The sequence below is a fragment of the Homo sapiens genome, chromosome 5 (genome assembly GCF_000001405.40).
Source record: "Homo sapiens chromosome 5, GRCh38.p14 Primary Assembly".
Taxonomy (NCBI): domain Eukaryota; kingdom Metazoa; phylum Chordata; class Mammalia; order Primates; family Hominidae; genus Homo; species Homo sapiens.
In genome coordinates this window covers 13,685,877-13,700,060 of record NC_000005.10, presented here as the reverse complement: position 1 = coordinate 13,700,060, position 14,184 = coordinate 13,685,877, and the positions used below count along the sequence as shown (strand labels likewise).

Genomic DNA, 14,184 nt, shown 5'->3' with positions numbered 1-14,184 from the left:
GAATGTAATAACACTTCTGTGAAGTACACACGTGATTCTAATTAAACAAAATTATCAAAGCTGTACTTGACAAGTCTAAAAATGCCTAAACTATTTTCCGTTATTGGATTGATGTTTTCTGGAGGCTTTTTTTGTCACCTTTCACTCAGCTAACATCTCTACAGCAATAACCACATTTCAGCACACGAGGGAATTCCCTGTTCGTCTTAGAAGCATAAACCATAAACTCTAGCCATGATAGTGGATCCCAAGGAAGTACTGATTTTATGATAGAAGCACAAAAGATTCTAACAAGTAAAGGGATAAAATAATTTATGAACTACAAGTATTTATTTATTTATTTATATGAGACAGAGTCTTGTTCTGTCACCCAGGCTGGAGTGCAGTGGCACAATCTCAGCTCACTGCAACCTCCAACTCCTGAGTTCAAGCGATTCTCCTGCCTCAGCCTCCTGAGTAGCTGGGATTACAGGCGTGCACCACCACATCCAGCTAATTTTTGTATTTTTACTAGAGACAGGGCTTCACCATGTTGATTAGGCTGGTCTCGAACTCCTGACCTCATGATCTGCCCCCGCCTTGGCCTCCCAAAGTGCTAGGATTATAGGCGTGAGCCACCATGCCCGGCCCCAAGTATTTATTTTTTAAGCAAACATTTGCTGGATGTCTAATAGTTACCAGCCATAACCTTAGGTGCTAGGGATGCAAAGATCATTATGAACCAGATCCAGCTCCCAGAGACTCACAGTCTAGTGAAGGAGACCCGTAGTAAGTAAATAATGAAAATACAAATTGATACATGTTACAAAAGAGGTGCTCAGAAAGAAAACATAAAGGTGTCTAGGAGTTTAGGGGTGATTGCTTTTGAGATGTGCTTTGGAGGACAAGAATGAGAGTTATGGGGAGTTAGACTTTTCGTGGCAGAGGGAAATAGCATTAGCTTGCTTGGTCATTCAGTAACTACTTACTGACCATCTGCCAAACACTGCCCTAGTGCTGGGGTTGCAGCACTGAGAAAAGACCAAACAGGCTTCCCATTCTCGTGGAGCTGAGTCGCAAACAGGGGTGATAGCCATAAAAGAAACAAATATAGTTGGGCCTTGTTACTCACAGATTTGTATTTGTGAATTTGCCTACCTGCTAAAATTTCTCTGTAGCCCCCAAATCAATACTAATGCCACTTTTATGGTCATTCACAAATATGTGCAAAGCAGCAAACAATTGGAGTTGCCAGACGTACATATTTCTAGCTGGGGCCAAACAAGGTGAGGCTGTGCCTTCTTGTTCCAGCTTTCATATTACAACTAAGTGTCCTGTTTGTTGTCTCTTTAGTACTATGTTTTTCAATTTTTGGGGGGTACTTTTTCCTATTTAAAATGGCCCCCAAGTGTAGTGTTTAAGTCTGCTGTTTCTGAGCACAAGAAGGCTGTGCCTTATGGAGAAAACACATGTGTTGGACAAACTGACTTCAGGCATTAGTTATAGTGCTGTGGGCCTTCAGTGCAATGGTAATCAACCATATATATTAAAAAGATATCCTTAAACAGAAACACACATAAAGCAAGATTATGTATTGACTGCTTGATGGAAATGTTGTGACCGGAGGCTTGCAGGAAACTAACCCTGTATTTCCCCTAGGAGAAATGGCTTGGCGTTTGTTAATTCAATATTCATGGTGACTTTATAGGACATAACTACTGTGTATAATGAGAGTTGACTAGAAATGAACATACTGATTTCAGATACTTCTTGTTTCTCTGCAAAAAACACATGCATGGTGTCTTAGTCCATTTTCTGTTGCTATAACAAAATACTACAGACTGGGCATGTGATAGACAATAGAAGTTTATTTTGCTCCTGGTTCTGGAGGCTGGGAAGTCCAAGGGCATGATGCCACCATCTGGTGAGGGTCATTCCATGGTCACAGACAGAAGGTAGAAGTAAGCATGTGAGACAGAGAGGGGCACCAGGAGCTGGACTTGGTTTATAGCAACCCACTCTTGCAATAACTATCTCACTGGCATGATGATGACATTAATTCATTCATAAGGGATTCACCCTTTTGACCCAATCACCTTTTATCAGACTCTACCTCCAAATATGGTTGCACCAGTGATTAAGTTTTCAACACATGAAATTTTAGGGGACAAATTCAAGCCATACACATGGTTTGAGTGTAAGATAATTTAGGAGTTCTGTGAGAAATATTGAGCTGAGATCCAAGTGATAGAAAGAGGCTATGCTAATATCCTGGAACAGAGGCAAGAGTGGAAAGTCATGAGGTGGTAATGGATGTGCTGGGTTTGATGAAGAGTTTAGTTCTGGGATTTAGAAGACAGACCCAGTCCAGGTTAGCTGGATGTTAGCAGTGTGTAGGTGGATAACAAAGTTTCCACATGAAGGAGGTTCTTCAGGTAGACGTGGAAATGGGGGAGTTGGAAGAGAGAAATGATATTTATGGAGAATGTTTAAAGGTGGATTTCACACCATGTCTCATTTAGTCTTTACAAAAGTTTGCTAGAGAAATGATTCTGCTTTGAGGACAACAAGCTAGAGAGGCTGTGATTTGTTGAAGGGAATAAGGATTACCTTGGGAGGGGACCAGTGTTTAAAACATGAAGGAAGAAGAGCCTGTGAAGGGGAGAGTTGAGCATCAGATTAGGAACACGAAGGTTCTCAGCACACTGCTTGGCACATGGTGTAGTTCAATATTTATTAGTTGAATCTAAAATGATAAATGTGTCTACCTGGGCTTAGGCAAGCATACTGCCTATGGCTTTGTATTTACTGGTTCTTAGGGTAGTGTGACATCTTGGGACAGTAATTATTTTATAGAAATAATAATCAAGTGTTCCTTTAGCCAAAAATAGTATTTTAGAAAAATTGCTTTGTCATATCATTGCATCTAGTCAACATATTGTAAAAATGTTTCCCATATAAAATGAAATAAAAACCTTTTTCCAGTTGAGTTACATGTTCCTGTTTTTTCTTGTGACTAAACTATAAAAATCCACGGCAATTTGACATTGAACATCTCAGCATGGTAGTAATAAAGTAATAATTTTATAATACTGGCAATTCTTTATGATTTAAGAACAGATTTTTATAGAAGAACTATACCCACCCTGCTGGGTATTAGCCCAGTGGTGATGCTCATTAGCAGCAGGTAAGGGAGAAAATAAAATAAGCAAAGGAAAAAGGGCTAATTTCAAAGTATTAAAAGAAAACTTTAGTTCTTTATTCTTTTTTTGATTTCAGTAAGAGTTGGTGGAAACTTGGTTTGCCAAATAGCTTTGTTGTTGAAGAGGTGTTTCTTTAGTGATGGAAAACTAACATTCTGTTACCCCTTTCATGCGATATATTTAATTTTTACTCAATTTTGATAATTGAGCAGGGCTCTAATTGACTTAAAGGGGTGTGTAGCATCATTAATGACCAAAGTGCAGCATTTAAAAATTGGAATTCTTATAGTTAACAGTTTTTACATTAATATGAAGGAAATTTTTTGATTTAAATAATCATTAAAATATAGATATAGGACTGGTTTGTTTTCTACAAGAAGAAATCTAGATATTTATTTTAATTCTAAAAATTGAGTGATATACCCTGAAACTTGAAAAAGAAATCATGTTTCTTGCTAGAAAATCACGGGAAAGTCATTCAAATAGTACTAAATTCACCAAGACGGTAAAGCCACACACACACTGTCTAGATCCTCTATTCTCAAAGGAAGCTGAAAAGGACAGATAGAAGAAAGATATGTGTCTTCACAGATTTATTATATGAGCAGATTGATGATTCTCAATGAACTTCAGAGCTGTAGCTGCTGTGATGGAAAACCGTGATTGGAACATTTGCGAGGGACGAGGCAAGCCTTCTACATACCTCTGGTCACTAAGCAGGTGCAAGAGGGGTCTCAACGGTTATTTCCTGCTAAGGAAAAAGTGTATCTAAGAACACCGTCTGACCCATTCTGACCTGAGACTGTGCAGATTTGGGCCTGGGGTGGGGATAGCCGTATGTGGTGACCAGGGGTAGAGACCTCCTGGCTCCTGAGCCCACAGGATTTAATCCACTGTCAGCTTGTCAACCTGGAAGTCTGTTAAAGTCATGGGAAACATGAGTCTGGGAAATTGTTTTAGTGAAAAGGTCCATGCGTAAGTAGATGCATGTGTGTGTATGTGCGTGTGCATGTGTGTGTATGTGCATGTGCATGTGTGGGTATGTATGTGTGCCTGTGTATGTGTGTGTGGAGACTGAGAGATAAAGAAGTGTCGAATAACATCTCTATCTTAGGCACCTTCTACATTCCAGGCATCATACTATACCAGGCACATACATGTGTTAACTTATTTAATCTTTACAACAACTCTGTCAAATTTGTCATCCTCATTTTGCAGATGGAGAAATTAAGGCTTGGAGACACTGGGTAATTTGCCCATGATTCCTGGCTACTGACAGGGAAAGCTGGTATGAGAATCACATTTGTTTGTCATGAGGTATATGCAAACCTCTGGGAATTCCCATGGTTAATCTTCTACTTGAGATTCTGTGTTTACATGTCCTCGTAGTTCCTGGGATGAAACTTGAAAATGAGGACAGCTAAACTCAAAATGAGGACAGCTCCCTTGAATATCGAAGTCCTGAGTTAATTTTTCTCAGGTACCTGCTAAGGTAGACTGTAGGCAGTGGGAGGGCACAGGGAGAGCCCTCTGCGGATGGTGCTCTCCCTCCGTATACCTCCCTCCATCATGCTACAGGCTGAAAAGTGCTCGTGCCCCTGTTCACCGGTAGAGGACTGTGAGCCGAGGGCCAGGATACTCGGGTTGTTCTCCTGGCTTTTATCATCCTAGTCATTAGTCACGTGGCTTTGGAGGCATCTCAAATATGCCACAAATTGAACTCAGGTTTCTAGTTCTGTCCATTTCATTTTCATGTTTTCTGCAAAGGCAGAGGTATACATGCATAGTGCTTCCAAAGTATTGCAGAGATGAAGCGGAGAGGCCACGGATCCATTCTGACTAGGTTTCATTCTCAGTTATCACTATAGCTCTCTAATCTTGGACAACTCACCTCCTTCTGTTCCAGTTTTTGAATCTGTAAAATGATTAAATATTAGTACCCATCATATAGGATTATTGAGAGAATTAAACTGACACTGTTATGTACATAGGAAGCATATAATAAATATTTTTTTCAATTGTTACTTTTATTAACATGCTTAGCTCACATGGTTTTTAAAGGATTGAAAGAAATAGTGTATGTTAAGAGTGAACTGTCTAGTAATTTAAATGTTGTTAGCAAAAGGGTGGTTAAATAAAGGAATGACTTAACGATTCTATAGAGACTCTCTATGTAACGATTATTTTGGATGTTGGAAGGAATATATGGAATGTATACTCACATGTAGATGAAAAATGCAAGATAGGGAAGTTAAATAGTCAGAAAATGAAATTCCCCCAAGGTGTTTTGTTAAAACCTTTAAGATCCTAAAGGGTATGGCTTGCCAATTTGCACAACCTCTTCTCTCTCCTCCTCCTTCTGGAACCCTAAGGCTTTAAACATACTTAGGTGATTTGTTCTACCTACCTAGCATGCCTATTTTTGTCTTCAAAGTTATTTGTCTAAGCAGGGGGATGGTTTCGAATCATCTGCTTATGTAGTTGTTTAGCATCTATCAACGTTTTCACTATGAAATTATATCTTCAGTGGCTTCTAATCCTGCCGCAGAAATTTGCTGCACGCTGTGACTTGGCATGAGCACCTTCAGCTCTGAAGCAATTAAAAATAAATAGAATTGGATAAATATTTCAGAAAATTATTTTTACCTGCTTATTGAAGAGAATGCTATTTTTTCCCTCCATTTTTCTGTTGGGATTAAAATCCAAGTAGTCAAATACTTCTCAAGTTGTAATTTTTGTAATTATCAGGAGATTCAGATGTAAGGCACCAAAGGCTTACTTCAAGGTTTATAAAATGGTTAATCAAATCTGCAGCAAGAAGAATGACTTTTATATGTTTTACATGTTTAAAGATCCTAGGATTAAAGGATTTAACTATATCAGTGAGTATAGTTAGCGTTAACCGTATTGCATGATTCATTGTCATTCATTTACTTGTTCAGAATTTTTCATATATATTTGCCTAATGATTATCACTAGTGATATATGCATAGAAATTGGAAAAATTACACTCAGACTTAAAAATTAGGTATCACGTTGTTTTAGGTTGTTCCTAATGATTACTTTCATGAGATTAGGGAAACACAGGGTTTTAAAATACTATAAAATATCTTTGTTGTTTTAGAAGAAGGTTTCTCATTCTCTTGGTACTATTGACATATTTGGTCTGGGTAACGCTTTGTTTTGGGGGAGCTGTCCTGTGCATCATAGGATGTTAGCATTATCCCTGACCTCTATTCCTGAAGATGTCAGCAGCAAGCCTACGGCTGTGTTAACCAAAAATGTCTTCAGATATTGGCAAATGTCCTCCGTAAGTAGAATTGTCCCTGGTTAAGAATCACGGCTTTAGGATTATTTATTTTATATTGAAACTTATGTGTAACATTATTGTATTCAAACGTTTCACTTCTTCTAATACAATTAATTAAATTTATAGTGGATATGTAAAAACACAGGGCACAGCAGGTTACAAGTTCTATTGGATCAAATAATGAGACTTTAGTTTCTGATAGTGCCTTGCTTTTGTAATTTTCTGGAAAAGGTAAATTTTTGAGCATGTCAGTTTTGAGAAATAAATTCAATAACTCTGATGTGTTTCAGTGCCCATGTTTGTAACATTAATTCACAAAAGCAGAGCATCCTCTTAGTTAAATGTAATTTCACCTGAATAGTTAAGTGAGGGTTTTTTAATTTTTTTGTAATATTGACTTCCCGGAAGAGTACAGGGATGGGTGTAGACACACTCTTGTCCTCAAAAAATGTATAATCTGGAAGAGAATATTAAATAATATACTATTTCCTGAGATGCATGTTAGGAGATGTGCAGATAAACTACTGTGGGCAGAGTGGGTTTCATAAGAAGCTAATGAGGCTTAAACTCCCAGGCTGCTCACAGGCAGAGTCTCCTTCCAAAGCCTACTTTTTTATTTATAAATTTTACTCCTTTTCTTAAAGAGGGCCCTCATGAATTGTATAAGTTTAAGTCCCCACAGACCTGGACCTGTCTCTGAGTATGGGGTTTCCAAGGCTGGAGAGAAAGGGAGCATGTGGGTGGAGATGGATGTGTTAGAAAGGATCTCTGAAGGATGGACATACATAGATTGCCTTTCATTGCAGTGTCATTTTGGAAACTGCATCCATTCTTCTACTCCAGAAAGGTAGACTGAGTCTCAGGGAGGTGAATTGGGCCATTACTCTCTGCGTCCCAGCAATTTTATTTCTCTACATATATGGAGAATTCACAATACCTGATTTAGCTGGGGGGTGGGGAGGCACCCTCTGTCCTGGGATTTAAAATGTGATGTAGACTATGGCCTGCAGGGTTGAAGATTTTGAAATAATAAAGTAATGCCCACTGGTGCTGGATGCCTGAGTAAAAGTAGATGTGTGTGTGCTCAAGGTTTGGTGAGGAGGTGAAGGAGAACAGGTGGAGGGGATGTTGAGTGGACAGGTGCAAAGGAGAGAGAGGAAGCATGTGGGCATGAGTTACTGTCCATGGTTCAGGGCAAGGGGCCAGCAGAGGCCACCAGAGGCTGTCTGGGTGTCTTGCCACATCTGCTGGCACCATGTGGGAGCATCTGCCTCACATCTAGGAATTGCCTGACCTCAGAAAGAATGTCCCTCATTCAGCCAAACCCATCTGTTTTTGAAATGACCTACAGAATGCAGAAGCATGGCTCTGCATTCTCCTTGGGCTCTAAAGTGGAAATTTCACCAAGTTCTTTTCTTTTATGTTTTTTGTAGCTTTACGAGATCCTCGGTTTTACTCCTGTCCCATCTATAAGAAGCCAGTTCGAACGGACTTGAACTACATTGCCGCTGTGGATCTCAGGACAGCCCAGACCCCTGAACACTGGGTGCTCCGTGGGGTTGCCCTTCTGTGTGATGTCAAGTAACATGTGGGGAGTGTCCCCACCCAATGCTTTGGAAAATGCAAGATCTAAATTATTGTAACCTTTATTTCTGTATGACTGCTGGACAGTGTATGTTAGGTCGTTTATGCAATTAATGAGCTGCATAGGTTTTCCCCACTCCTTAATTGGATGCTTATATTTTACTTGTTTCATCATTAGTGACCAATGTCTGAGTTTGTTGAAAATGTTATTTAGTGATATAAAAGTAAATTTACAGCATCCTAATGAAGTGTGGCCCTCAAATCCACAGTAGTATATTTTCTTCTTACTTCGCTCCGAAGACTGACTAGGGTAAGCAGACAGTATTTCTCTGGGAGGAATTATTCTTCTGTTAACGTGGCCTGGTAACAGCCAAGTTCTTGAAGGTAACAGGGCAAGTCTGTGCTGATTTTGCTTCTATTGCCTTTCGTATTTAGGTCAAGTTAAGAGACTTATTTTCAGGGTTTCAAGCAGCCAATTAAAAATACCTTTTAAAAAATAGAAGGAAATAGAAGAATGGATTAAGAATGTAAATAGAAAATTTATGTAAACATAGAGAATAAACGTAGAACAATGCTTAAGCCTACTTATAATTAATAATGAAATACTAATTGATAATTCTTATAATAAAAATTAAAGCTAAAAGTAAATGATAGCATGCTCTCAGTAAAACTGATCCACTCACAAATTGCTGGAGCAATGTAAATCAACCCAACCTTTTTGTAAAATGATTAAATACAGAAAGAGCCATAAAAATATTCACACCCTTGGATCTTTGTTTTCTCTACATCAAGGAAACAATTTAAAAGACTGAAAACAGTCTATATAAAATTGCATTTAATAACAGAAAAAAATGGAAAAATCATAAATATTCAATAGTCAGGCTATGGTTAAGGAAATTAAGAGATATTTGGCAACCATAAAAAACAATTTTGAAGATTCCATAATATGAAATGGTAGACCCAGACTGTTAAGTGAAAGATTTAGTTTACAAAATATTGAGCACACTGTGATTATAACAGCAAATATATTTGCATGTGGACAAAGATTAGATGGCAAGATAGAAAAATAAGAACAGATGTGATAGCAAGAATTATAGTTGGCTTGAAAAAATGTGATGATCAGGAGAAAAAATAAAAAAAGGGTAGAAATATTAGACGGTGCGTAGGGACTTTCTATGGACTTTTATTAATTAGGAAACATTATCAAAGGAACTTTTCACGTATTTTTCTTTAAATTCTGGTTAGATGTTATTAATAATTCTTCATCTAACCTACTGACTAGAAAATATAGTCAGTACTAAATTAGAATTGTGGTTTATAAACTTTTGGTTAGCTCTGGATCTGTATAACTGCATTTTTTTGGATAAACAGTTTTTGGTAGGTGGATACCGGGAGACAAGTGTGGGTCCCTCTCACTGGGCTTCATTCTGTGGACCAGGATCATTATTTCATGCTCATGATCATGAGAGTTAGGACTGAGTGGCTCCTGTGACTCCCACCATCTTAGATGATACTGTTTTCTTGTGAGTTCTTTCTTTTGGTGTGGATTAGTATATCAGTTGATTTGTGTGAATTGTGGTGAAACAATCATTTCATTTTGAAAAGCAAGTAATGAAAATGTCAACATCATAGGAATTAATAAAATGTTTTTACTAAATGCCTCATTCATAATTGTTGTTTATCAGAAAAGGGGGTAATTGGCACTAAGTATCTAGAAATAAGCTTTCAAGACTGGATTTTTTATCAAATAATTTGAAAATGTGTCATTCATATGATTTTGTGATACACATCTGTTAGTATGCATGCATAAGTCTTGGAGACCCAAAGTAGAAAAAGACCATGAAAACAACTAAGAACTTTTAGGAACTAATTCAACATGGCTGGCCCCTGAAGCAGTGATGAGTCAATGAGGCCCCTTTCTGCATAGCCACCTACCCCTACCGGGGCTCCTCCCACCAAAAGGTGCTGGGCATTCCACAGTCAGGTAGGCAAGGGAGGACCGATTGAATGAATCTCTCCTGCAATGGAGAGGCTTTCTGATGGTCTTAGACATGGAGAAAAAACAGCCAGGGGCTTGCTACCATTGCAGAATCATATAACAGTCTTTTTCAACTGTCCCAATATTGATTTACTAAAAAATATTTATTTTGCACCTCCTATGAAGACTCTCTGCTGAATTGGTGATGCAATGGTGAAAGAAAAAAAAACAGTCACAGTGCTTAATCTCATAGAATTCACCTGAGAAGAATAGATGCAGAATATAGCAATTATTCAGGTACACATGTAGTTGTATTAGTCCGTTTTCACACTGCTATAAAGAACTACCTGAGACTGGTGAATTTATAAAGAGAAGAGGTTTAAAATTGACTCACAGTTCTGTATGGCTGGGGAGGCCTCAGGAAACGTAATCATGGTGGAAGATGAAGAGGAACCAGGCATATCTTCACAATGGTGGAGCAGGAGAGAGAGAACGTGAAGGGAACAGCCACACACTTTTAAACCTTCAGATCTTGTGGGAACTCACTCTCTATCATGAGAACCACACAGGGGAAACTGCCCCCATGATCCAATAACATACCACCAGGTTCCTCCCTCGACATGTGGGGATTACAATTTAAGATGAGATTTGGGTGGGGACACAGAGCCAAACCATATTGTTCCACCCCAGCCCTTCCCAACTCTCATGTCCTTATATTTTAAAACACAATCATACCTTCCCAACAGTCCCCAAAAGTCTTAACTCATTCCAGCATTAACCTAAAAGTCCAAGTCCAAAGTCTCATCTGAGACAAGAGAAGTCCCTTCCACCTGTGAGCCTGTAAAATCAAAAGCACCAAATGGGAAAATTGGCCAAAACAAAGGGGCTACAGGCTCCATGCAAGTCCAAAACCCAAGAGGGTAATCATTAAACCTTAAAGTTTCAAAACAATCTCCTTTGACTCCATATCTCATATCCAGGGCACATTGATGCAAGAAGTGGCCTCCCAAGTTCTTGGGCAGCTCTACCTCTGAAGCTCCATAGGGTACAGCCCCTGTGGCTGCTTTCACGGGCTGGCATTGATTGCCTGCAGCTTTTCCAGGTGCACAGTGCAAGCTGTCAGTGGATCTACCATTCTGGGAGCTACAGGATGGTGGTGCATTTCTCATGGCTCCACTAGGCAGTGCTCCAGTGGGGACTCTGTGTGGAGGCTCTAACTCTACATTTCCCCTCTGCACTGCCTTAGTAGAGGTTCTCCATGAGGACTCTGCTACTGCACCAGACTTCTGCCTGGACATCCAGGCATTTCCATACATCCTCTGAAATCTAAGTGGAGGTTCCGAAACCTCAAGTCTTGTTTTCTGCATACCTGTAGGCCCAACACCATGTGAAACCTGCCAAGGCTTGGGGCTTGTACCCTCTGAAGCTGTGTCCTGAGCTGTACCTTGGCCACTTTTAGCCATGGCTAGAGCTGGAGCAGCTGGGATGCAGGGTGTCATGTCCCAAGGCTGCACAGAGCAGTGGAGCCCTGGGCCCAGCCCAGGAAACAATTTTTCCCTTCTAGGCCTCCGGACCTGTGATGGGAGGGGCTGCCATGAAGATCTATGAAATGCCCTGGAGACATTTTCCCCATTATCTTGGCTATTAATATTCGGCATCTCTTTACTTATGCAAGTTTCTGCAGGCAGCTTGAATTTCTCCCCAGAAAATAGATTTTTTTTTCTTCTATCACTTGGTCAGGCTGCAATTGGTCAAATTTTTATGCTCTGCTTCCTCTTTAAACATAAGTTTTAATTTCAAACCATCTCTTTGTGAATGCATATGGCCGTATGCTGTTAAGAGCACCCAGGTCACATCTTAAATGCTTTGCTGCTTAGAAATTTCTTCTGCCAGATACCTTAAATCATCTCAAGTTCAAAGTTTCACAGATCTCTAAGGCAGGGGAAAAATGCTGTTAGTCTGTTTGCTAAAGCACAGCAAGAGTGACCTTAGCTCCAGTTCCCAATAAGTTCATCTCCATCTGAGAGCATCTCAACCTGGACTTCATTGCCCCATCACTATCAGCATTTTGGTCAAAACTATTCAACACATTTCTAGGAAGTTCCAAAGTTTCCCACCTCTTCCTGTCTTCTTCTGAGCTCTCCAAACTGTACCAACCTCTGCCCATTACCCAGTTTCAAAGTTGCTTCCACATTTTCAGGTATCTTTACAGCAGTGACCCAAACTCCTGGTACCAATTTTCTTTATTAGTTCATATATACATTATAATGAACTACGTGAGACTGGGTAATTGATAAAGAAAAGAGGTTTAATTGACTCACAGTTTCACAAGGCTTAGGAGGCCTCAGGAAACTTACAATCATGGTGGAAGGCCAAGGGGAAGCAAGGCACGTCTTACATGGTGGAAGGGGTGGGGGCTGTCACACTTTTAAACCATCATATCTCGTGAGAGCTCACTATCCTGTGAACAGCAAGGGGGAAACTGTCTCCAGGATTCAATCCCTCCCCCCAGGTCTCTCCCTTGACACATGGGGATTACAATTCAAGATGAGATTTGGGTGGGGACACAGAGCCCAAACCATATCAGTAGTTATCTATAATCTAAATTTATGGTTATATAACATGATGTACATTAGGTGTCTAGAAGATAATATAAAGATTGTGCATTAAGTGCTATGAAGGAAAATACTGGACGTCGTGAATGAGAATAACAGAGGAGACTGCAGCACATCAGTTGTGTCACCACTATCAGGCAGAAGCCATGTTACAATGTCACCATTTATTTTTACTGTTTTATTGATATTTTTAATTGATTAACTGATCATATTGCATTTATGGAGTAAAATGTGGTGTTTTGATATATGTATACAATGTGGAGTGATTAAACGAAGCTAATTTACATATTCATAATCTCTCGACATTTATTACTTTTTAAATTTAAATTGATGTTTTTAATTGACACATTGTAATTGTACATATTTATGGAGTAAAATTTGATGTTTTGATACATATTTGTGTTGTGTAATGATCCAATTAGAGTAATGTGTATATCCAGCATCTCATGCATTTATCATTTCTTTGTGGTGAGAACATTCAAAGACTTCTCTTCTTCCTAGATGACATTTATTTTTACGGAGGACATACATGCAATAGCAGGGAGGCACTCCCCGGAGCCAGAGCAGCTGCTGCACATCCTTGCCTGGCTTTTCTCTGGTTTTCTGGCTCCCTTGTTCCCTTGTGCAACTCACAGCTTCTGGTGACCCTCTCTGGGCAGGTAAGGTCCTTCCAGAATTGACTGAGTCTAAAAGGAAAGTCTTGTCTCATAAAGAACTGTCTTTTTATGTATGGGGCTTATTTCACCATTCCATAGAAGCATACCTTGGCTTCTCTGAGCATCTTTAACGGAATGCTGGCAAACATTGAACCACCTCAGCATTAGTGAGGCCATGTCACCATCAGTGGAAAAAGCCTAGCCAGGGTCCAGTGTCCTCGAACAACATCTCTACTCAGGATACTCTTTGCCTGGAGAGACTTAATTTGATTGGACCATAAGGAAAAGCAGCTCTGAGAAGGTGACATCTAAATTTAGATTTAAAGGAGTAAAGGAAAACATCTCAGACCCCCAAGCGCTGGGGACTGGCCTCTTGCTCCCTAAAGGGAGAAAGTGGGCACAGTATCTGCAGGACGGGTGACAGGAAAGCCTGACTTGGAGTGGAGGGATATGGAGGGATGTGGAGGGCTGCTTTTAAAATGAAATTTCACACCTTATGATGATGGCTGCCAGTTTGGAGTAGTGGTGGATGGAAATCATGTGTTTCTAAGTCATTGGAATGAGGAGTACTTTTTGTTAAATACCATTTGCAATGGAAAAATCTCATTATAAAGAATTCAGTATTAAGAGACCTGATGAGACAGCCACAAATTTTATACTTAAGTAGCTTGTAGGATTCTATAGTTTAGACAAAATATACAGCATCAATGTCATTATTAGTGATAAATTTTTGTTCAAAGATGAAGCGTTATATGAAACTAGGGGAAGTGGGCATGGTTAGTGAGTACAAAAAATAGAATCAATAAGATCTAGTATTTGATAGCAAAGCAGGATGACTATAGTTAATAATAATTTAACT

The 14,184-nt window shown here is 39.4% G+C and overlaps 1 protein-coding gene across 8 annotated transcripts in view; it reads left to right on the top strand.

Moving 5' to 3' along the window:
* The window catches only part of DNAH5 (dynein axonemal heavy chain 5), a 321,491-nt gene extending 311,758 nt beyond the window's left edge, over positions 1-9,733 (top strand). For all 8 annotated transcript variants that reach the window (XM_017009177.2, XM_005248262.4, XM_047416886.1 and 5 more), the window contains one exon: positions 7,926-9,733. In XM_017009177.2, coding sequence (XP_016864666.1) covers positions 7,926-8,077 — 152 coding nt within the window. In that variant the 3' untranslated portion in view covers positions 8,078-9,733. The remainder of the gene's footprint in view (positions 1-7,925) is intronic.